The following is a 22,681-nucleotide window of genomic DNA, read 5'->3' on the forward strand; positions in this document are numbered from 1 at the left end:
ATATTTAGGAGATTAGCAAATGCTTTTGGAACAGATAGTAGTATTTTGGCATTTGTTTTAGTTAAGACTTTTGGAATCTATCATGCAGTGTCTTGACAGAAAATGGGCTCCTTCTGAAATGAGATGATAAAGAGATGCTCTTGTCAGATGATTCTCAGGAGACGGCAGTAGCTGTTTCTTAGACATATGCCATGACATTTTAAGAAAATTATATAATCATTTTCTAACCGCCGCCCCCCACCCCGCAAAGTTCAGGAAGTTTGTATAAAAGTTCTAGGAAGTAAGTACACTTCTTAGAGAGCCAGTGTTGGAATTAGCCTGCATATGTAGATGGGAGTTCTTTTTCTGCAGTTCACTAATGTGGGCAGTTTAATCAACTTCTCAGTGCCTCCCTTTTCTCATTTGCAAAACAGGGATAATTTCTACTTTCTTCACAGGGTTTTTGTAAAGATAGAGTGTAAAAGCACTTTTAAAGTTATTAGGGATGCATAAATGTAATTTATATGTTAGTATATATGTGTTTCTTTTTTTCTACTAGAAACAAGCATAATATTTTAAGTTTTTGCAAAACTGCTTTCTTTGAAATTAGTGTTTGATTCTCAGTGATCACAAGTTTTTTTTTTTTTTTTTTTAATTTCAAGGAGTATTCTGAGGCTTGCTATTTTAGGACTTGGAGAGCTTATAATAAAAGACATTAATCCAATATAGACGAGAGTATTATTATCTAAACATGTGTTGATGACTTTGTGCTTTTAGGTATACCAAGCTTGGCTACGCAGGCAACACTGAGCCCCAGTTCATTATTCCTTCATGTAAGTAAAGCTCTATCCTTGGGTTTATAAAGGTTTGTGTTTCTCAGAATTGTTCTAAGTGTTCTGATTCTGTTTTTCAAGGTATATTAATGTACTTACCATCTTCTTTTAGAAGACCGTTCTGGTTACCCCACAACTTTCTAGTCCTTCTGTTCCATTCTGATAAAGCCCCTTGTCACTGTCGTTGGAATCTCAGCTTGGATAGTCAGCAGGGTCCATTTATTCAATTATAAATGCCTGAACTGCCTAGAAAAAGTATATCTGGTCTTTAAGGTAAATTTGTAATTTTAAGTACATACAGTCTGTTAGCTTAGTAACTTAATGGACTGAATATCTCTTGTACTACACTATTCACTCTATCGAAAGATTCTTTTTTTTTTTGGTGGAAATGATAGGCCTGATGACTGTTTTTATTGTGTTTAGTAGTATTCTGTTTTTGTTTAAGTTTTAATCAGTAGAGAATAACAGAAGTGTCCTTGCAGTTTGGCATGGGGCGTTCTACTCACTCTTTATTTCCTGTAGGAGTCTTCCCGAGGTTAGTCGGTTGTTAAAGGATAGGATTCTTGGCTGGGCGTGGTGGCTCACGCATGTAATCGCAGCACTTTGGGAGGCTGAGGCGGGTGGATCAGCTGAGGTCAGGAGTTCGAGACCAGCCTGACCAACATGTTGGAACCCCGTCTCTATCAAAAATACAAAAATTAGTTGGGTGTGGTCGCAAGTACCTGTAATCCCAGCGACTCGGGAGGCTGAGGCAGGAGAATCACTTGAAGCTGGGGGGTGGAGGTTGCAGTGAGCCGGGATCGTGCCACTGCACTCCAGCCTGAGTGACAAGAGTGAAACTCCGTCTCAAAAAAAAAAAAAGATAGGATTCCCTGGAACTATCTGTATTTCAGGTTATTATTTGGAAACAGTTTTCTAAAGAGTAGGATGTATTAATCAAGAGAAAGTGAAACTCTGTTCTCTACATGTAGCTCTAATAAGATAAGTTGTGATTTTAGAAATTGTAAGTTTTTAGGGGGCCACGATGTTGTAATAACAGGCTTTGTGAACAGTGGGGAACGTCGACAGGGAAAAAACAGCTGGAGAGAAGGTGCTTGATTAGTGCTTATTCGGGGAGGGCTAAAGCTCTATTTGGTGAATGTGGGTATTCACATCACTAGAAAGCGGACTCCAGATTCTTTGAGAACATTTAAGTAACCTCATTCCGGTTCCTTGCTTGCTGAAAAACTGGCCATGAATGTGATTTTCTAGATCTAAACGCTCTGCTGCCATGAATGGGTTATCCTGATGACAGGCATGATTGGTCTGCTGTGTCCTCATTTTGAATTCAGAAATGAGTGTCTTAGTGTGCTTGGGCTGCCATAACAAAATACTAAAGACTGGGGAAATTAATGTTATCATAGTCTGGAGGTTGCAAGTCCAAGATCAAGGTGCTGTCAGGGTTGGTTTCCGGTGAGGCCTCTCTCCACGGCCTGCAGAGGGCTGCCTTCTCTCTGTGTCCTCCCATGGTCTCATCTCTGTGTCAGTGTGTGGGGTTGCTGGGGACCTCGCTGGTGTCTCTTTCTCTGCTGATAAGGCCACCACTCTTATTGATGGGGACCCCACATTTACCCCAACCACCTCTCTAAAAGTTTCATCTCCAAATACAGTCACATTGAGGGTTAGGGCTTCTGCGTAGTGAATTCTGTGGGGACATGGTTCAGTCCATGACAATTGGTGTTCTGTAGGATGAATCAGTCTTTTGTGAATTTCATTAATGTGAATGCCCCAGAACCTGATCATTCCATGCTGAGTTGATAAATTGAACTCCCTGACTTTTCAAAGCAGAAGATTAGATTTTAACCTTGTTAAGTGCGACAGCTATAAAAGGCTGACCTTGCACCTTTTGCTTTAATGTGTTGCCATTTAAAGCTGTCGGTAGCATTCAGTTGGCTGCCCCATTTAACCTGTCATCATTAATAGAGACGGGAAGCGAAGACAGTTATTATCAGGATTTCATTCACTGTCAAAAAGCAGGAGAGCTCTCAGGCTGCAGCTGTCAGAACCTTAGCAGTCGCAGAAGCTAGGAGGATAATACAAATGTCAAAGAGGTGGGAGTAAAAGAACAGTTACATTGTTGGGCTGAGTTTGTTGTGAGGGGGGGGGGAGGGGAGGGGGAGGGGGAGAGGGAGGGAGAGGGAGGGAGAGAGAGGGGGAGGGGGAGGGGGGAGAGGGGGGAGGGGGAGGGGGAGGGAGAGAGAGAGAGAGAGACAGAGAGAGAGAGAGAGAGGAGAGAGAAGAGAGAGAAGAGAGGCAAGAGGGGCCCCAGGAGTCAAGGTTAGAAGATGTTCGGGCAGAAGTGAGGATACTGAGATGTGGAAGTGAGGCCCTGGGTCACCGTGGACAGTTGGCCTGCTGCGTGTCTTGGGGCTGGGAGTGGAACCATTTTGTGCAAGTGTGTGGATGTGTGTGCTGAGTGCTGGAGCAAGACTTTCTCTGCGTGGCATGGAGGTGAGGTGCTGTGGGGGTGTGGAGAAGCAGGGGTGCTGTGGGATGGTGGGGAGAGCGCCAGGAGGTGGAGACCTGTGGGGAAGGACTGGGTGGCAAGGGACTTGCAAGTGTCCTCTTAAGGAATTCTGTTTTTATTTTGCATACCAGGAATTTTCAGACTGTTTTTGAGGCTTCTCTCTGGGGCCTGGCCCACTGGACTAGAGAATCCTCAAGCCCCGTCCCTGCCTCCAGGGGCAGCTCTGCTTATGTCTGGTTTGTTGGAGCTTCTGTGCAGAATTTGCTTGGTTGCTTGAAGAAAGTTATTCCCTACTTTTTTTTCTTAAGTCGTTGGAGGATATTGGTGGTCCTGCCGCAGCTTCAGGCGGAGAATGTGTGGTGATCAGAGAATGTGTGGTGTAGAAAGAGGCTAGAGGAGGAGCAGCGAGGGGCTGAGAAAAAGGGCACACATTTTAGACATTCAATATTGGAAGAGTTCAGGTGTGAAGAGGTTTAAGGCCTAGGGAAGAGAGTTAGGCTGCAGCTAGAAAATATAACAGTGGGCTGGGCGCGGTGGCTCACGCCTGTAATCCTAACACTTTGGGAGGCCAAGGTGGGCGAATCACCTGAGGTCAGGGATTTGAGACCAGCCTGGCCAAAATGGCAACACCCCATCTCTACTAAAAATACAAAAATTAACCCGGGATGGTGGCGGGTGCCTGTAATCTCAGCTACTCGTGAGGCTGAGGCAGGAGACTCACTTGAACCCAGGAGGTGGAGGTTGCAGTGAGCCGAAATTGCACCACTGCACTCCAGCCTGGGGGACAGAGTGAGGTTCCGTCTCGAAAAAAAAAAAAAAACAAAAAACAAACAAACCCCACACACAAAAAACCCCATGGACTCACCACCAAGAATGAACACGTCATTACTGCATATTTCATCTCTGTATCAGAGTAAATGAATAAATGGCACATTATAGGTTGAGTATCAGACCTCTCTTCTTTTCCTCTTTTCTTTCCTCTGGTGGATATTTTCTGGTTGTGTTTCTACTCCATTTTTATCCATATATTACATGTACAAAGATACATTGTTTTGTGAGTTCATACATTTCCAATATGGTATCACACTGTAAATAACTTTCTGCATGGTCTTTAAAAAGAAAAACCCTCAATATTATGTTTTTATCATACATACAGATCCACATCAGAATTCTAACGTGAATATACAACAGTTTTTTTCCTTTTGGGCATTTTTCACAGTTCTCTGTTATATAAAATGGTGCAGTAAAAATTTCCTTATGCGTATCTGCTAGTTTCCTGAGAGGAAATAATCAGAAATTGTTTTGTCACAGAGCGTACACCCCTTCATCCTTAGGCAACACCTAATTAGGTATTGCCACGTTACTCCTCCAGGAGGCTGTTCTGATGGATATCCCATCAGCAGTGTGTGAGAGTTTCTGTTTCATAGATTCTTGATAATTGGTATTGTGTGACTTACATTTTGGTCAGTCTAATGAATGTAAAATGATGGCTCATTCAAAAAATTTCTATTTCTCAGATTACTGGTAAGGTTGAGCACCTTTCATTGCCTGTTCATATCTTTGCCCATTTTTCTATTGCATTTTTAAATGGAATTATAGGAACTCTTTGTAGAGGTTAAATATGAATTTTTCGCAGATACTTTTTTATTCTATGACATTTTTAAAAATTATCTTTTATCATCTAGAAATTTAAAATTTTGATATAGTAATACTTTTCAGTCTTTTTCTTTTATAATTTGTTTCTGTTTAAAAAATGCATTTCTACTCCAAAGTCATAAAGACTTTCTATATTTTTTCTAAGAAAATTTTAAGTTAATTTGTGAGTATGGTGTGAAGGAGATAGGTAATTTTGTTTTCCATGCGGAAGGCTAGTTGTCCCAACACTATTTATTAAAGAGTGTGTTCCCATTTGGCACACCTCTTTGATCATATCGAGGTACCATTTATGCTTGGGAATGTTTTCGGTGTCTTTTGTTTCATTGATGTATTTATCTGTGTTCCGTACGTTCCATACTCACAGTGTTAAACACTATTACTTTATCATGTTTTAATCTAGTGGGTTCGATTCCTACTCATTTTTTTTCTCAGAATAGCTTTGGCTCTTACTCTTTAGTGTTCATTTTAGAATCAGCTTAAGTTCCATGAAAATTATAATGGGGTTTTGATTATTATTATTATTATTTTTATTTTTTTGAGATGGAGTTTCACTCTTGTTGCCTAGGCTGGAGTGCAATGGCGTGATCTTGGCTCATTGCAACCTCCGCCTCCCAGGTTCAAATGATTCTCCTGCCTCAGCCTCCCGAGTAGCTGGAATTACAGGCACCCACCACCACGTCCAGCTAATTTTTGTATTTTTAGTAGAGACGTCCAGCTAATTTTTGTATTTTTAGTAGAGATGGGGTTTCACCATGTTGGCCAGGCTGGTCTGGGAACTCCTGACCTCATGATCCTCCTGCCTTGGCCTCCCAAAGTGCTGGAATTACAGGTGTGAGCCACTGTGCCCGGCCTTGATTATTATTTATAGATTAATTGGGGAAAAATTTGACGTCAAATTTGACTTTCATGGATAGGAATTGAGTATTCCTATCCTTGAAGATGGTATATGTGTTTTATTGTTTATTCATGTCTCTCGTGTTTTTCAGTAGTGTTCTAATGTTCTAAAGTTTTTTTTTTTTTTTTTTGAGATGGAGTCTTGCTCTGTTGCCCAGGCTGGAGTGCAGTGGCACAGTCTCAGCTCACTGCAATATCCACCTCCCGGGTTCAAGCGATTCTCCTGCCCTCAGCCTCCCGAGTAGTTGGGACTACAGGTGCACGCCACCATGCTCAGCTAATTTTTGTATTTTTAGTAGGGACGGGATTTCACTATGTTGGCCAGGCTGGTCTTGAACTCCTGACCTTGTGATTCACCCACCTCAGCTTCCCAGCGTGCTGGGATTACAGGAGTGAGCCACTGCGCCTGGCCTTAAAGTATTCTTTAAAAAGCTCTTACAGGCCAGGCGCAGTGGTTCACACCTGTAATTCCAGCATTTTGGGAGGGCTAAGGTGGGTGGATCACTTGAGGCCAGGAGTTAGAGACCAGCCCAGCCAACATGGTGAAACCTTGTCTCTACTAAAAAATACAAAAATTAGCCGGATGTGGTGGCTCACACCTGTAATCCCAGCTACTTGGAAGGCTGAGGCATGAGAATTGCTTGAACCTGGGAGTCGAGGTTGCAGTGAGCTGAGATTGCGTCACCGCACTCCAGCCTGGGCAGCAGAACCAGACGCTGTCTCAAAACAACAACAACAACAACAACAACAACAAACAGCAACAACAAACAACAACAACAACAACAAAGCCCTTACACTCGTACACAGAGGGCTGGACACAGTGGCTCACACCTGTAATTGCAGCACTTTGGTAGGCCGAGGTGGGAGGATTGCTTGAGCCCAGGAGTTTGAGACCAGCCTTGGCAACATAGTGAGAACCTGTCTCTACCAGAAATAAAAATAAATTAGCTACGTGTAGTGACGCTCACCTGTGGTCCCAGCTACTCGGGAGGCTGAGGTGGGATGATTGCTTGAGCCCAGGAGATCGAGGCTGGAGTGAGTTGTGATTGTGCCACTACACTCCTGCCTGGGTGACACAGTGAGACTTTGTCTCAAAAACAAGCAAAACCCCAAGACAACTCTTCCATAGTTTTTGCTAGCTTTATTTTTAGGTACCTTTAAGTTTTCGTTGCTGTCGTCAAAATATTTTAAAAATTCTATTTTCTAATTCATAATTGCCAGCATATGGGAATGTTACTGAGGTTTGTAAGATTTTTTTTTTTTAATCCAGCAACCTTTATTGACCTCTCTTATTTAACAGTCTGCAGATTCTTTAAAGTTTTCTATGCAGACTATTGTATTGCCTTCAAATAGTGGTTATTTTGTCTCTTCCAATTCTAACACTTCGTGTTTCTTTTCTTGGTCTTGCTGTGTTGGCTAGAACTTCTATTAAAATAGTGATCAGAACTGCAGACAGCAGGTGCTTTTTTGACTTTCTGACTTTAAAGAGAATGGGATTTTATTATAGTACTCTACTAGTGATAACTGTAGGTTTTTGTGGAAATGCTTTTTCAGATTAAAACAGTGCTCTTCTATTCCTAGTTTAATCTGAGGGTTTTTTTTAATTAAAAAAATCATGAATGACAGTGAGTATTGACATTTAGTCAAAGCTTTTCTGTTATTGAGATGATCATATGGTTTTGGACATTTGTACTCTTTCTTTTTTTTTTTTTTTTTTTTTTGAGGCACTGTACTTTAAGGCTGGAGTGTAGTGGCTTGATCATGACTCACTGCAGCCTTGACTTTCCAGGTTCAAGAGATCCTCCCACCTCAGCCTCCCAAGTAGCTGGGACCACACATGGGAGCCATCATGTCTGGCTAATTTTTAAATTTTTCATAGAGATGGGGTCTCATTATATTGCCTGTCCTGGTCTCGAACTTCTGGGCTCATGCAGTCCTCCCACCTTGGTCTCTCAAAGTGTTGAAATTATAGGTGTGAGCCACCCCACCTACTCTTAATAGGAGGAGTTACTTTAATACATTTTCGAATATTGAACAGTTATTTCTTTTCTTTTTTTTCTTCTTGTAGAGATGGGGGTCTCTCTTTGTTGCCCAGGCTGGTCTCAAACTCCTGGCCTCCAGTGATCCTCCTGCCTCAGCCTCCCAGAGCACTGGGATTACAGGAATGAGCCACCTTGTCCAGATTGAACAATTATTTCATTTTTGGGATAAATCCTACTTGGCTATGAAATATGAAGTACATGCTGAACTGTAATTGCAAATATTTACTTGAGAACTTTGCATCAATATTCAAAAGTGAGATTGGACTGTAATTTTGATTTCTTGTTTTTGTCTGGTTGTGTATCAGGATTATATGGGCTTCATAAAATGAGTTTGTTAGCTTTCTTTTTTTATTCTCTGGAACAGTTTGCATAAGATAGGAATTGTTTATTCCTTCAAGCTTTAGTAAAAATATCTAACAGTCTTTTGAGAAATATACTGGATTAAAAAATTACTATTGTTGTGTCTCTCAACTGTTGTAGCAAATGTTCTGAAGTATCTGTGTCTTAAGTCCTTAGATACAGTCTTCTCGATAACCTTCCTTAGATTGCCCTCAGATGGCTTTTTTGGCATTTAGGAAAGTAGTCATGTCTTTTCTTGGTAACCCACATCCTATAATCCTATACCCAAACACAATTTTTTTTGACTGCAGAGCTTGTTAGAAAAAATAATTGTTCTTTTTTTTTTTTTTTTGAGACAGAGTCTTGCTCTGTCGCCCAGGCTGGAGTACAGTGGCATGATCTTGGCTCACTGCAACCTTCACCTCCTGGGTTCAAGCAATTCTGCCTCAGCCTCCCAAGTAGCTGGGATTACTGACGTGTGCCACCATGCCCGGCTGATTTTTGTAATTTTAATAGAGACAGGGTTTCATTGTGTTGCCCAGTCTGGTCTTGAACTCCTGGCCTCAAGCTGTCCACCTGCCTCAGTCTGTCAAAGTGATTAGAGGCGTGAGCCGCTGTGCCGGCCCATTGTTCTTTATTACTAAGTTTAATCTTTTTAGTTTTGATTCATCATTATAGCTGAAGTGTTTTATTTTCTAGTTTAAGTCATTTATAAACTCTGTATTTAAAATATTTTATTTTGAAATAATTATAGATTAATAGGAAGTTGCAAAGATAGTTTAGAGAGATCCTGTGTACACTTTTCCTATTTTGCCCCCAAAGGTTACATCTTACAAATTGTAGTGCAATATTATAACCAGAAGTGAGACCCTGTCTCTAAAAAATAAAAACAAAAACAGACCAGCCCCAGGAAACGGATGTTGGTACAATGTGTGTGTATAGTTCTATGTCATTGTAATTCTACCTGTAGATTCCTTGAACTACCACTGTAATAAAGTTACAGAATTATTTTCTCACTACCAAGATCTCTCTGGTGCTATTCCTATATAATTACACTTACTCCTCTCCCTCTACTGTTCCTAACCACTACTCTGTTTTCATCTCTATAATTTTATCATCTCCATAATATATGTTCTTCAATAGATTAATATTTAAACTGACAGTAGTACATCATACACTAAATACTACTCAGCAGTAATGCTACTACTCATACAGTGTGTGCCTTTTTTTGGGACAGAATCTCGCTTTGTTGCCCAGGCTGGAGTGCAGTGGTGTGATCTCAGCTTAATGTGACCTCAGCCTCCTGGGTTCAAGCAATTCTCCTGCCTCAGCCTCCTGAGTAGCTGGGATTACAGGTGCCCACCACCACGCCCGGCTAATTTTTGTATTTTTAGTAGAGATGGGTTTTCACCATGTTGGCCAGGCTGGTCTCAAACTCCTCAAGTGATCCACCTGCCTCGGCCTTCCAAAGTGCTGGGATTACAGGTGTGAGCCACTGTGCCTGGCCCCCCATTTCTAATATAATTGTCTTAAATCTTTCCTCGATATACATTGAATCTCATGAGATTCACATCAGTTACAATTTTTGCTTCAACTGCCAGACATAATTTAGAAAACGCAAGAGGAAAAGGAAAATAATTATGATCCATATTTTTGCTCTTTCCATTGTTCTTTCTTTTTTCTTGATGTACTCAAATTCCTTCTTTTATCATTTCTTTTCTCTTTAGAGAACTTCCTTTAGCCATTCTTTTTAATATTTATTTATTTTTTTTTAATTAAAGAAACATAGGCCGGGCACGGTGGCTTATGCCTGTAATCCCAGCACTTTGGGAGGCAGAGGCAGGCGGGTCATGAGGTCAAGAATTGAGACCATCCTGGCCAACATGGTGAAACCCTGTCTCTACTAAAAATACAAAAATTAGCTGGGTGTGGTGGCGTGCACCTGTAGTACCAGCTATTTCGGGAGGCTGAGGCAGGAGAATTGCTTGAACCTGGGAGGTGGAGGTTGCAGTGAGCTGAGATTGCGCCACTGCACTCCAGCCTGGGTGACAGAGCGATACTCCATCTCAAAAACAAACCAAAAAAACAAAAACAAAAACAACAACAACAAAAATAATGGACTGCCTGAACATCCCAAGCCATTCTTTTGAAGTAGGTGTGCTGTTGACAAATTGTGTTAGTTTTATTTCAACGGAAAGTCTTGATTTGCTCTATTCTCGGGATATTTTTGCTGAACATAGAATTCTGGATGGACAGTTCTTTCAGCACAAAAATGTTGTGGTACCTTTTTTTTTGGTGTGTATGTGTCAAGATTTCTGATGAGAAATGTCCTTAGAAGCTGAATTTTTTTTTTTTTTTTTTTTGGTCTTTAGTTTTTAGAAGTTTGAGTATAATGTGTTTTGGAATGGATTTTTTTTGTTTTGTTTTGTTTCGGGTTAACTTATTTGGGGTTTGTTCAGTATTGAATCTATTAGTTTATTTCTTTTTCTCTTCCCTTTTTTTTTTCTTGCCAAATTTGGCAGTTTAGCCATTGTTTCTTTGCATACCTTCTGGTCCTGCCTTCTTTCTCTTTTCCTTCTGGGAATTGTAATCCACAAATGCTAAATCTTTTCTTATATATCCCAGATGTCCCTGAGGCTCTGGGCTCTGTTTTTTTTTTTTTACTTCTTCCAGTCTATTTTCTCTCTTTTGTTTGGACTGGGTAATGTCTGTTATTCTGTCTTCAAGTTCAGTGTTTCTTTCCTCTGTCCTTTTCTTCTGTTGAGGCCATCTCTTAAGATTTTTATTTCAGTTATTGTGATTTTTAATTCTAGAATTTCCATATGGTTTTGTCTTTATATCTTGTTTCTTTGCTGTGGCTTTGTATTTGCTTGCTGAGACTTCCTTTTATTTTCCATTTGTTTCAAGAGTCAAGAGTATTTGAGATTGCTCATTGAGGCATTTTGTGATGGCTCCTAAAATCCTTGTTTGATAATTATAATGTCTGTGTTATCTCGGTGGCATTGTCTATTCATTGTCTTTTCTCTTTTCAGTTGAGATGTTACTGGTTTTTGCCATGGTGAGAGTTTTAAAGTGGAAACCTAGATACTTTGGGTATTATGTTATGAGGTTCTTATTTTAATTTTGTGTTTTAGCAAGTCTTTTCTGACACTACTCCAGCAGGGGAATGGGGATACCACTTCATTATTGCCAGTGTGGGGGTCAAAGTTGAGGTTCTCCTTTTGGCCTTTGTTGACACTCACTTGGGGAGGAGCTCCATGTTACTGCTGGGCTGGGGTGGAAGTGGGGACTGTGGTATGTTGTGCTGTACTAGAGATAGCTTGGGTGACATAGATTATTTAGACAGATTTCTCCATTGTGTTCATAAGAACTGTTTGGGCCACATCTTGTTCCATAGGTATAGACAAAATATTTGGAATATAAGCTCTATATACTTTTATTCTCTTGCATGGATACAGTTGCTTCCTCTATAGTTGTTAAAAGAAGTATACTTTGTGTGTGTGTATATGTGTTTTAATTTATTTTTATTTTTATTCTTTTTGATTATTATTATTTTTTACACAGAGTCTTGCTCTGTTGCCAGGCTGGAGTGCAGTGGCGTGATCTCGGCTCACTGCAACCTCCACCTCCTGGGTTCAAGCAGTTCTCCTGTCTCAGCCTCCTGAGTAGCTGGGACTACAGGTGCGCACCACCATGCCCAGCTAAGTTTTGTATTTTTAGTAGAGTTGTGGTTTCATCATGTTGGCCAGGATGGTCTCGATCTCTTGACCTTGTGATCTGCCCACCTCAGCCTCCCACAGTGTTGGGATTACAGGCGTGAGCCACTGTGCCCGGCTATCTTTACAATCTTTTATATTGACTTGACAGTTTAATTCTGGATTCACACACAATTAAGTTTGATCTTGCCTAGAGGATAGGATCTGTCACTTGTATTGGCACATTGGCAGTGGCCCTTTGGAATACCAAACTTGTACATCAGATGGTTCTGTGTGGTGTCAGTCAGTGTGCCATTGAATGGTGTGGTCAGAGATGGATGTTATCTATTTCTACAGATCACCTCAGTCGTCGTGGCCCACAAGACTTTTCTAGCCCATGTTCAGCCCAAGATCTCCAATGTCCTCTTCACTTCTCATTTCAGCCCGTGTTTCCACTTCACTCGTGCTTTCTTCAGTTCTGCTGAAGTTCTGTCCTTTACTTGTTTATAATTTGATATCTTTGAGACTTTAAATGTGGCAGTGAGTTGCAATGAGAAAAGGAGGTGGGGAAAGTGATTTCTGCCCTGTGTCTTTTTCTTTTCACCTTTTTATCCTGTTACCTCAAGATGCCCTTCTGAGAAAAAGGCTTCAGTTTCACTCTCTTTTTTTTTTTTTTTTGAGATGGAGTCTCACTTTGTCACCCAGGCTGGAGTGCAGTGGCATGATCTCAGCTCACTGCAACCCCTGCCACCTGAGTTCAAGCAATTCTCCTGCCTCAGCCTCCTGAATAGCTGGGATTACAGGCATGGGCCACCACACCCAGCTAATTTTTGTATTTTTTGTTTTATTTTAAGAACAGATGGGGTTTCACCATGTTGGCCAGGGTGGTCTTGAATTCTTGACCTCAGGTGATCTGCCCAACTTGGCCTCCCACAGTGCTGGGATTACAGGCGTGAGCCACTGCTCCTGGCCTCAAATTCACTCTTATAGCTGTGTTGTTATTCTTCATTTGTAGTAAATTGGAGATTCCAGATAATCTACTTTTAGAAATAATTGTATATGTTTATTAATTTGTCTTGGAACAAATTCTAATATAAATTTCTAGCTAGCTTAATAGCTCTCTGTTTGAGAAAATTCTATAGCCTGACTTACCTTGAAAACTTTTCATTTGGAAATGAGGCATTAAAGGTAAATGACTTTGAGAGGTAACAGGGTAAATGCTTTAGCTCACAAACAAAAGATTAGCTTTTACTTTTATTATGTTTGTTTAGCTTCTTTTTAATAGCTGAAAAACCAATATATCCAGTAGAAGAAGCAAAAGTCACCAGTAGCTCTACCATCCATGGTTAACCAGTATTAATCTTTTGTCTGGCCATCTTATTTTTCTGAATTTACATTAAACACACCCGTGCAACTCTGTCTGAAGTGGAGTCATACTGTGGTTATTCTGAAAGGCAACTTAGTAGCTCTTGTTTTTTTTTTTTTTGGAGGCGGTGTCTTGCTCTGTCACCCAGGCTGGAGTGCAGTGGCGCGATCTCGGCTCACTGCAACCTCTGCCTCCCAAGTTCAAGTGATTCTCCTGCCTCAGCCTCCCAAGTAGCTGGGATTATAGGCGCCCGCCCCCATGCCTGGCTAATTTTTGTATTTTTAAGTAGAGATGAGGTTTCACCATGTTGGTCAGGCTGGTCTTGAACTCCTGATCTCAGGTGATCTACCCGCCTCGACCTCCTAAAGTGCTGGGATAACAGGCGTGAGCCACCGCGCCCGGCCTTAGCAGCTCTTTCTAAGGATTTGATATAATTTATTTACCTGATCTCTGATTTCAGGTCAGTTAACTTTCCTCCTTCAATTTGTTGCTATTATAATTAGTTCTACAAAGAGTGTTGTTGTGTATATACTTTTATTTACTCAATGATTATTTCTTTAGAATGAAATTCTAGAAGTGGAATTGCTGGATAAACATAATATTTTTCTCAGTTCTTCTCTGGAATGGTTGTATCTGGGTACCTGTTCAGTTCCGCCAGTCACAAATTTGGTCTCCAATTTGGTATAGATAATATTGTTTATTGAGTACTATTCTCTACCACAGTCTCTGCTAAACACTTTGTAAACATTGTTCCATTTAATACTCACCACCCTGATAGGTAGTGGTATATGCATTTTGGAGGAGAGAGCACTGAGGGTTAATAATAACTTTCCTCAAGTCAGCTAACTAGTAAGTGCTCAAACCTAGGTTTTCATAACTTCAGAGTCTGTGTGCTCATTCATGAAGTAGCTGTGCAGAAAAATTAACTTGGCTGGACTGTTTGAAGAAATTAGTTCATATCAGAAACTGTTTTTTGTTTGTTTGTTTTGTTTGTGACTGGGTCTTGTTCTGTTACCCAGGCTGGAGTGTGGTGGCGTGATCATGGCTCACTGCAGCCTCAATTTCCCAATCCCCTTGTCTCAGGCTCCCAAGTAGTTGGGACTCCCGGCTAGTTTTTGTGTTTTTTTTTTTTTTTTTTTTTTTTTTTTTTTTTTTTTTGTAGAGACGGGTTTTCACCGTGTTGCCGAGACTGATCTCAAACTCCCAGACTTAAGCAATTTGCCTGTCTCGACCACCCAAAGTGCTGGGATTACAGGTGTGAGCCACTGTGCCCGGCCTAGAAACATTATTTACTCTCTCCTGAAATTCAGTCACAAGGATTTAAAAAATTTTTTTAATTAAAAACAGTTTTTAAAAATTTAAACTTTTTTGATATAGGGTCTCACTCTGTTGCACAGGCTGGAGTGCAGTGGGGCTATCATAGCTCATTGCAGCCTCAACCTCCTGGGCTCAAGTGATCCTTTCAAGTAGCTAGGACTACAGGCATGTGTGCCATTGTGCCTGGCTAATTTTTTAGCTTTTTTAGAGATGGGGTCTTGCTATGTTGCCCAGGCTGTTCTGAAACTCCTGAGCTCAAGCTATCCTCCTGCCTTAGCCTCCTGAGTCTCTGGGATTACGTGCATGAGCCATGAGCCACCACAGCTGGCTCTGATTTTAATTTTTTAAATTGACAGATAACATTGTGTGTTTTTATCGTGTATAATATGATGTTTTGAAGTATATATACATTGTGAATGGTTAAATCTAGCTAATTAACAAATGCATTACTTCATATAGTCATCATTTTTGTGGTGAGAGCACATAACACGTACTCTACATTTTTTAAGAATGCAATATATCGTCATTAACTGTTGTCACGTCGTTGTATGCTAGATCTCTTGTAATTTATTTCTCCTATCTAACTGTAGTTACGTATTTTTTGACCAACATCTCCTTGTCCTTCCCATCCCCGAACAGCCTCAGCCCCCTGTAACCACCATTCTATAGCCTACCTCTATGAGATCAACTTTTTAAGATCCTGCATATGAATGAGACCATGTGATATTTGTCTTTCTGTGCCTGGCTTATTTTACTTAACATAGTGCCCTCGAGGTTCATCCATGTTGTGGGCAGATGGCAGAATTTCCTTTTTTTTTTAAATGGCTGAATAGTATTCCACTGTTTATAAAGCCACATTTTCTTTATCTGTTCACCCGTTAATGGACACGTAGGTTGATTCCAGATCTTGGTTATTGTGAATAGTGCTACAGTAAACATGGGAGTGCAGATAGCTCTTTAACATACTGATTTCATTTCCTTTGGATATATGCCCAGTAGTGGGATTGTTGGATCGTATGGTAGTTCTATTTTTAATTGTTTGAGGAGCCTCTATACTGTTTTCCATAATGGCTCTACTGATTTGCATTCCCACCTATAGTGTATAAAGGTTCTCTTTTTGTCACATCATCACCAACACTTACTATCTTTTGCTTTTTTGATAATTGCCATTCTCAGTGGGGTGAGTTGATTGATATTGTGGGTTTGATTTGCATTTCCCCAATGATTAGTGATGTTGAGCATTTTTTCATATACCTGTTGGCCATTTGTATGTCTTCTTTTGAGAAATGTCCATTCAGGTCTCTTGCTCATTTTTCACTTGGGTTATTTGTTTTTTTATTGCTGTTTGAGTTCTTTATATATTTTGATTATTAATCTTTTGTCAGGTAGATAGTTTGCAAATAGTTTCTCCCATTCTATAGATTGTCTCTTCACTCCGTTGATTGTTTTCTTTGCTGTGCAGAAGATTTTTAGTTTGATGTAATCCCAGTTATCTATTTTTGTTACCTGTGCTCTTGAGGTCTTGTCCAAAAAAATCCTTGCCCAGACCAATGTCATAAAGCATTTTACCGTTTTCTTCTAATAGTTTCACAGTTTCAGGTCTTACATTGAAGTAAGTCTTTAATCCATTTTGAGTTAATTTTTGTATATGGTTGAGAGATAAGCATTCATTTTCATTCTTCTGCATGTGGATATCCAGTTTCTCCAGTAACATTTACACTTTGCCCGTTGTGTAAAATCAGTTGAGTGTAAATACATGGATTCATTTCTGGGCTCTTTGTTCCACTGGTTTATATGTCTGTTTTTATACCAGTACCATGCTGTTTTGATTACTGTAGCTTTATAGTGTACTTTGAAGTCAGGTAGTGCGATCCCTCCAGCTTTCTTCTTTTTGCTTAAGATTCCCTTGACTGTTTGGGGTCTCTTGTGGTTCCATGTGAACTTAGGATTATTTTTTCTGTTTCTGTGAAGGATGCCATTGGTATTTTGATAAGGACTGTACTGACTCTGTACCTCACTTTGGGTAGTAAGTCACAAAGATTTTGATTCAGAGAAATTTTATCTAGCATTTACATTTGTATAGCTACAGAGTCGTACTTTCATCAGAAATACATTAAGGACAGTGAGAAGCCATTAGTATATTTATGGAATTAGGTTTATGTTAGAATTATTTAGGTATAGTTTGACCATTTTTCAAACCCACAATAAATATTTTAGTGGAGTAAAATGTTAATTTAGCAAATATTTCTCTAATGTCTGTTCTGATAGCCAGTGGCCTGCTTAGGTGCAAATCCTGTCTGTCTCTTAGAAGCTGTGTGACCTTGATAGATTGTTAAGCTTCCCTTTCTGTGAAATGCAGATAATAGTACCTGTCTCATAAGCTATTGTGAGGATGTAATAAAATAGTGTGCAAAAGGAAACACTTAGCAGAGTGTTCAATAAATGTAAACTTTAATTATTATTATTAGTTATTGACTTCAGAGCCTCCCACTGGAGAGACAGTTAAAGATGGGGGTTATCTGATGTCAAGGAATCTATAGTTTGGTAGACTGATCTTAAACAATTGTAATTCATCCAGAAAAATGCCTTAATGCAGGTATAAAAGGGCCAGTGGAAGCATCAAACACGTGTGCAGAACTGCAGGTTGTCAAGGAAGCCTTCAAGTGAGGAGATGGTGTTGATGTCGAGACCTGATGAATGAAAATAGCTCATGGGAGAGCTCAAGAGTGTGAGCAGGAGTTAGAAATTTCAATGGAAAATGGAATCTTTGTGATGCCCTCCACATTTCATTAGCTGTCTGGAGTGAATTGATATGATTATTTACTGCTAAGTATATTCCCAAATATTTAAGATTAAGATCTTATTAAAATAATGAATTATAAAGCCATTAATATTTGGAATTTTTATGTAATAGTTATTTGATTATGGTACTTTTTTTGGCTACAGATATTAACCAATAACATTCTAATTTATCCTTTTAATGGGATAAATTTTAACGGTTTTTTTTCTTCCTGTAACAAGACTAAAAGTACATTTTAAGGCTATGTGATGTAGAGTCTTATTATAGACATTATTTTTCAGTTTACTCTCCTTTTCTGTATTGTACAGAATTTTGTCCCCTTCTATATTGTATTTTAAATTTGGAACCTACTGATGTATAGGCATTTCACTTACTATCTTGAGGGATTTTTCCAGATAAAACTGAGAAATTTTGCAATGGACCTTCTGTCAGTATAAAAGTAGAGCAGCTCATTTCCTTTGTCCCATTCTGAAAATCATACCAGAATAGAATAGCCTGCTTCTGTATTATTTTATGTACTCATTGACATTGTCTTTTCTGTGAGCACCCTTCACCCCACATGGAGCCCTAACAATGAAAATTTACTTGTGTGTATATAAGGATATTATCCCTTTTGATCATTTAAATAGATATGGATAGTGATAGAAATCTGTGTGTGTGTGTTTTTTTTAAGGTATTGCCATCAGAGAGTCAGCAAAGGTAGTTGACCAAGCTCAAAGGAGAGTGTTGAGGGGAGTTGATGACCTTGACTTTTTCATAGGAGATGAAGCCATCGATAAACCTACATATGCTACAAAGGTAAATTTCCGACAGGTGTTTGCTTCTCTAAGTGTAGAGTAGTAGGATGAGTAATGCAAAATGGTCATCTAGAAGTTGTATTTGCGAGTTGTAGAATGTGTTATGTTTGAATTCTTATGTTTGAATAGAGGTGGTGGTGATGGTTGGTTTTGAATGGGGGTATTTTTGATTGGAGAATTAAGGGAATTAACAGATCCCTGGAATGCAGAATAGACTCAGGAAACACCAGGTCACACATGAAAGCAAGATCCCCTCCTCTGGAAAATTGTTGACAGGTTGACTAACCTGTCAGATGAGGGAAAATTGCAGATTGGTTAATTAAAAAGAAACACTAACGTTATTTAAGCAGACTTTTTTTTTTTAAAGCTCCAGATCCAATTGTATGATAATTAGCTGCAGTTTTCTATCGGTTCCTCATTGTATTTTTTGTTGTTGTTTTTTTAGAGATAGGTCTTACTCTGTCATCCAGGCTGGAGTGCTGTGATGCCGTCTTGGCTCACTGCAGCCTCGACCTCCTGAGCTCAAGCAATCCTCTCACCTCAACTTCCCAAGTAGGTGGGACTACAGGCACGCACCACCAAGCCTGGCTGATTTTTTAATTTTTTGTAGAGACAGTGTCTTGCTATGTTGCCCTGGCTGGTTTTGAACTCCTGGGCTCGGGTGAGCCTCCTGCCTTGGCCTCCCAAAGCGTTGGATTAGAGGCGTGAGCCACTGTGCCTGGCCTGCCTCCGTGTCATTGTTAAGGTGATTCTTTGTTTGTGGAAATGAGTGGAGGAGAATATGAACAATAATGTAACTTAATCTTTTTTTTCCAAATGCTGTTGTTTCTTTACAAGAATTAACAAAAACTGCAATAAGAAGGATACCTTTATTCTTAATAACACAGTTTCTTCTGTGCCACTGTTAAACTGTTGCTCTTATTGTTGCGAACTGAGGCTTGACAACTCTGGTGTCTCTTCCTCCAGTGGCCGATACGACATGGAATCATTGAAGACTGGGATCTTATGGAAAGGTTCATGGAGCAAGTGGTTTTTAAATATCTTCGAGCTGAACCTGAGGACCATTATTTTTTAATGGTGAGTAACTGGAACTAAGAGGAATATATTCCTGTAAATTCCAAATTGCTTAGATTTTAAACTGAAGATATTCTTTTCTAGGGCGTTTTAAATTTCTTCTAAAGATATGTGCATGAATCAGGCTGCTTTTTTGAAAATAAAGCTCAATAAAAATGTTCAGAACAAAAAGGGCTTGTTAGCTCACCAAACAGGAAGCCCAAGTGAGGCAGCTCTAGGGCTGTTGTTTTAGCAGCTCAGCGATGGAATTGCACATGCAGCCTAGGGCACTAGCTGGAGCTCTTCTGTTTGTTCCCCCTGGGTCCAGGGTGGCTGCCAAATTCCTAGATCACCTCTTTGGACATTTCCATACAGAGATAGAAGATTTCCCTTGCACTTTTTAAGAATTTAGAGACCCTTTCCCAGAAACCTTCCCAGCACATTTGCCCCATCTGCCTATGCCTAACCTGGTTAGAGCAATAGGAATGGATTTACTGTGACTGGTTTAGATTCTTGAAGACTTTCTCCTTGGAGTGGGGACCAGGAGAACCTGTCTGATGTTCTGGACCCTAGAGGAGGGTAAGTAGCTAAACAGGCCTCCAAAAGCAAGGACAATAGAAGGAGGAATGGATTTGGATAAACCAACTGCCTACTTTAGTTTTCTTGAGACATAGCAAGATGATTGTAATTATTGCCACTTATAGCAGAGGAAACCAGGTCAAGATGTTGTTTTTTTCTAGGGTTTAAATGTTACTGTAAAATAAAACTGAACTGAGTTATGGGCCCTAATTATATACTTAACTGATTTCATTCAAATGAAATGAAACATCACAGATAAATGAGAAGAAATATCTCCTCGTTCTCTAGTGGTTCTACTCAACATTACATGTTTTCTTCCGTGAGATGCTCTTTTCATCAAGTTAAAATTAATTATATGTACAGAATGCTTGCTTTATAGAGGGCAGTTTCATGTGACGTAAGCTGCGTATTAAACCTGCATAATTTAGGTTTGGATTTTTTTTCATGCAAGTACGTTGTCAAATGGTCCCAGATCCAATTATAAAATTCTTTCTGATGTTAGGATATGAAGTGTTTTTAAGAATTATCTGGTATAAGAAATATTTTAACTATAAGGCTAATAGTTAATGGAATAACTATTAAATATGGAATAACTCTATAACGAATATATGTATTTAATGTATATTAAAGCCAGTCTTTGATCTTTTTTCCCTGGCTGTGTCTTCACAGCTGAAATTGCCAAGTATGGCTACTGCATTTCACAGGCCACTCTGTTTTCTCTGTACATCCATAGTGGTTTATTTTATTTTACTGTTTTGCTCTGTATTTTATTTTTCTAGAAATGGGATCTTGCTCTGTTGTCCAGGTTGGAGTTCTGTGGCACAATCCTAGCTCACTGCAGCCTCGGACTCTGGGCTCAGTTGATCCTCCCACCTCAACCACCTGAGTAGCTCGGACCACAGGTAGAAGCCACTAGCCTGGCTAATTTTTAAAAATTTTTTTGTGGAGATGGGGTCTTGCTATGTTGTCCAAGCTGGCCTCAAACTCCTGGGCTTAAGTGATCCTCCCACTTTAGCCTCCCAAAGCGTTGGGATTATAGGCATGAGCCACCATACCCGGCCCACAGTTGTTTATGTGGAGCAAATGGAGCCAAGAAACTGACTGTGTGTGAGTGGCTTTGTCTTTACAGCCAAAACAAATCACAGATTCCCACCTGTCAGATTTGGCATTTTTCCTTCTGTAGCATATCACATAAACTACCTGTTGGATAGGATTTTAGGAGCAGGCACCGAGCCCAGCTGCTTCCTTCTGTCTACTTCAGCTTCCCATGCCAGGAGTTCTTGCTTTACTTAGAGGGACATCTAATCTTAGGCATGTGGAGCAAATATGGACCACCACACAGCTCACAGGAATTTTTATTAAAGGGGACTCTTCTGATTTAGCTGGCATACATGAGATAGTAAAATGTAACCACTTGCCAGGATGGAATTGGAGGGGTTTGGTGTGAACATGGAAAAGGCCATTTGCTAAAAATGGGCACCTGCAATGAATGTTCAAAAACAATCAGGTTTATTATTAAAAAGATAAGAAAATATCGTATTACATGTGTTGTGCTTTGAATTCTGCAAGTCATTCTGTTGCATGTTGTGGTTGAGGAAGTGATGAGAATGGTAAATTTCCTTCAGGTATTTGTCCTTAACCGTATGTTAATGGAATAGTTAAAGGGGAGTGAACCAGGTGGAAAGATTTAAGACCAAGCCATCAAAGTGAATTGAAGACTTAAAGAGAGTCTTGAGAGGCCCAAATGATGGACCCCACAGGAGCTCACAGAATTATCCTTTCTGATGGCCGTGCCCAGTCATCTGAACATGCAGAGAGAATGAGCTCCTTGCCACTGACTGTTTTCAAGGAGGTGCAGAGACTCAGCTTACACTGGTTATGTGGACTGAGCACCTGGGAACTCCACTCTTCCCCAATATTGCATTGCCCAGAGCTCAGAACGCACTCAGAGATGTCAAAGAGATGCAGTGCTCTTGAGTGGAAACTGAATTAGAACTTCGGAAGGGATTTGCAAACTTTTTGAATATAAATCCTGCAAGAGCAAACAAGCAGCACATGCAGACGACCAGCAATGAGAGGGCGTGGTGATTCTGAGGACCTGACTTGGTTAGGGTGACGAGAGCGGGGGAGTGTGGAGAGAGGAGGTCAGGCAGCCTTTGCGCAGTGTAGACAGTGAGAGCCACGTGGCCAGTTTTGTGTTTTAGGGAGACTTTGTGGGCAGACACCTCTGGCACACAGAGTCTTGAAGATGACCCCATGTGAGGTGACAGGTGCCTCCGAGGAGGGCGTAGGGTGAGAATGGCAGGAGTGGGTGGAGGGGAGTTCTGTCATTTGCGAGGTTCTTAAAATTATGTAAGGAGATATGTATAGTCAAAACCACCCATGAAAATCCTTCAGGAAGGGCCAGTTTATACAGCTCTGAGTCAGTGGGAGAATATGGATTTTCCCTCAGCGTGGAGGAACTTTCTTCTGCACCAGCTGGGGTGGTTGACTTACATTTAGGAGTACAGTATGGTGTGTGGAAGCACGCATTGTTTGTTAGGTTGCCCTCAGTCCAGCACTTTGCTCCCAGTCCCAGTATGTTGAAGCTGAGACCGCCTGAGAACAATCAAACTCCCAGAGCCAGTACTCATTAAGGAGCCCGGGCAGACATTGTATTGAGCAATCAGGCTTCCAGAGCCAGTACTCATTAAGGAGCCCGGGCAGACATTGTATCACTCATGGAGTTATTTCGCCTGCTCTCATATTTGGCCTCATTGTTCTGGCTTGTACCCTCACTAGCTTTTGTATGCTGTTGTGTTTTTGGAGCATGTACAGTTGGTTGG

General features: G+C 40.3%; 1 protein-coding gene across 15 annotated transcripts in view; it reads left to right on the plus strand.

Moving 5' to 3' along the window:
• The window catches only part of ACTR3B (actin related protein 3B), a 95,627-nt gene that overhangs the window by 22,679 nt on the left and 50,267 nt on the right, over positions 1-22,681 (plus strand). For 6 of the 15 annotated variants that reach the window (NR_146947.2, NR_146951.2, NM_001350942.2 and 3 more), the window contains exons 2-4: positions 757-812; positions 18,101-18,225; positions 19,191-19,301. Coding sequence is in view for 8 of the 15 variants with exons in the window: in NM_020445.6 (NP_065178.1) it covers positions 757-812; positions 18,101-18,225; positions 19,191-19,301 (292 nt within the window). In the remaining 7 variants the exon portion in view is untranslated. The remainder of the gene's footprint in view (positions 1-756; positions 813-18,100; positions 18,226-19,190; positions 19,302-22,681) is intronic. The other 9 variants (NR_146946.2, NR_146948.2, NR_146949.2 and 6 more) reach the window with 3 other exon arrangements.

This window comes from Homo sapiens, chromosome 7, assembly GCF_000001405.40.
Source record: "Homo sapiens chromosome 7, GRCh38.p14 Primary Assembly".
NCBI lineage: Eukaryota > Metazoa > Chordata > Mammalia > Primates > Hominidae > Homo > Homo sapiens.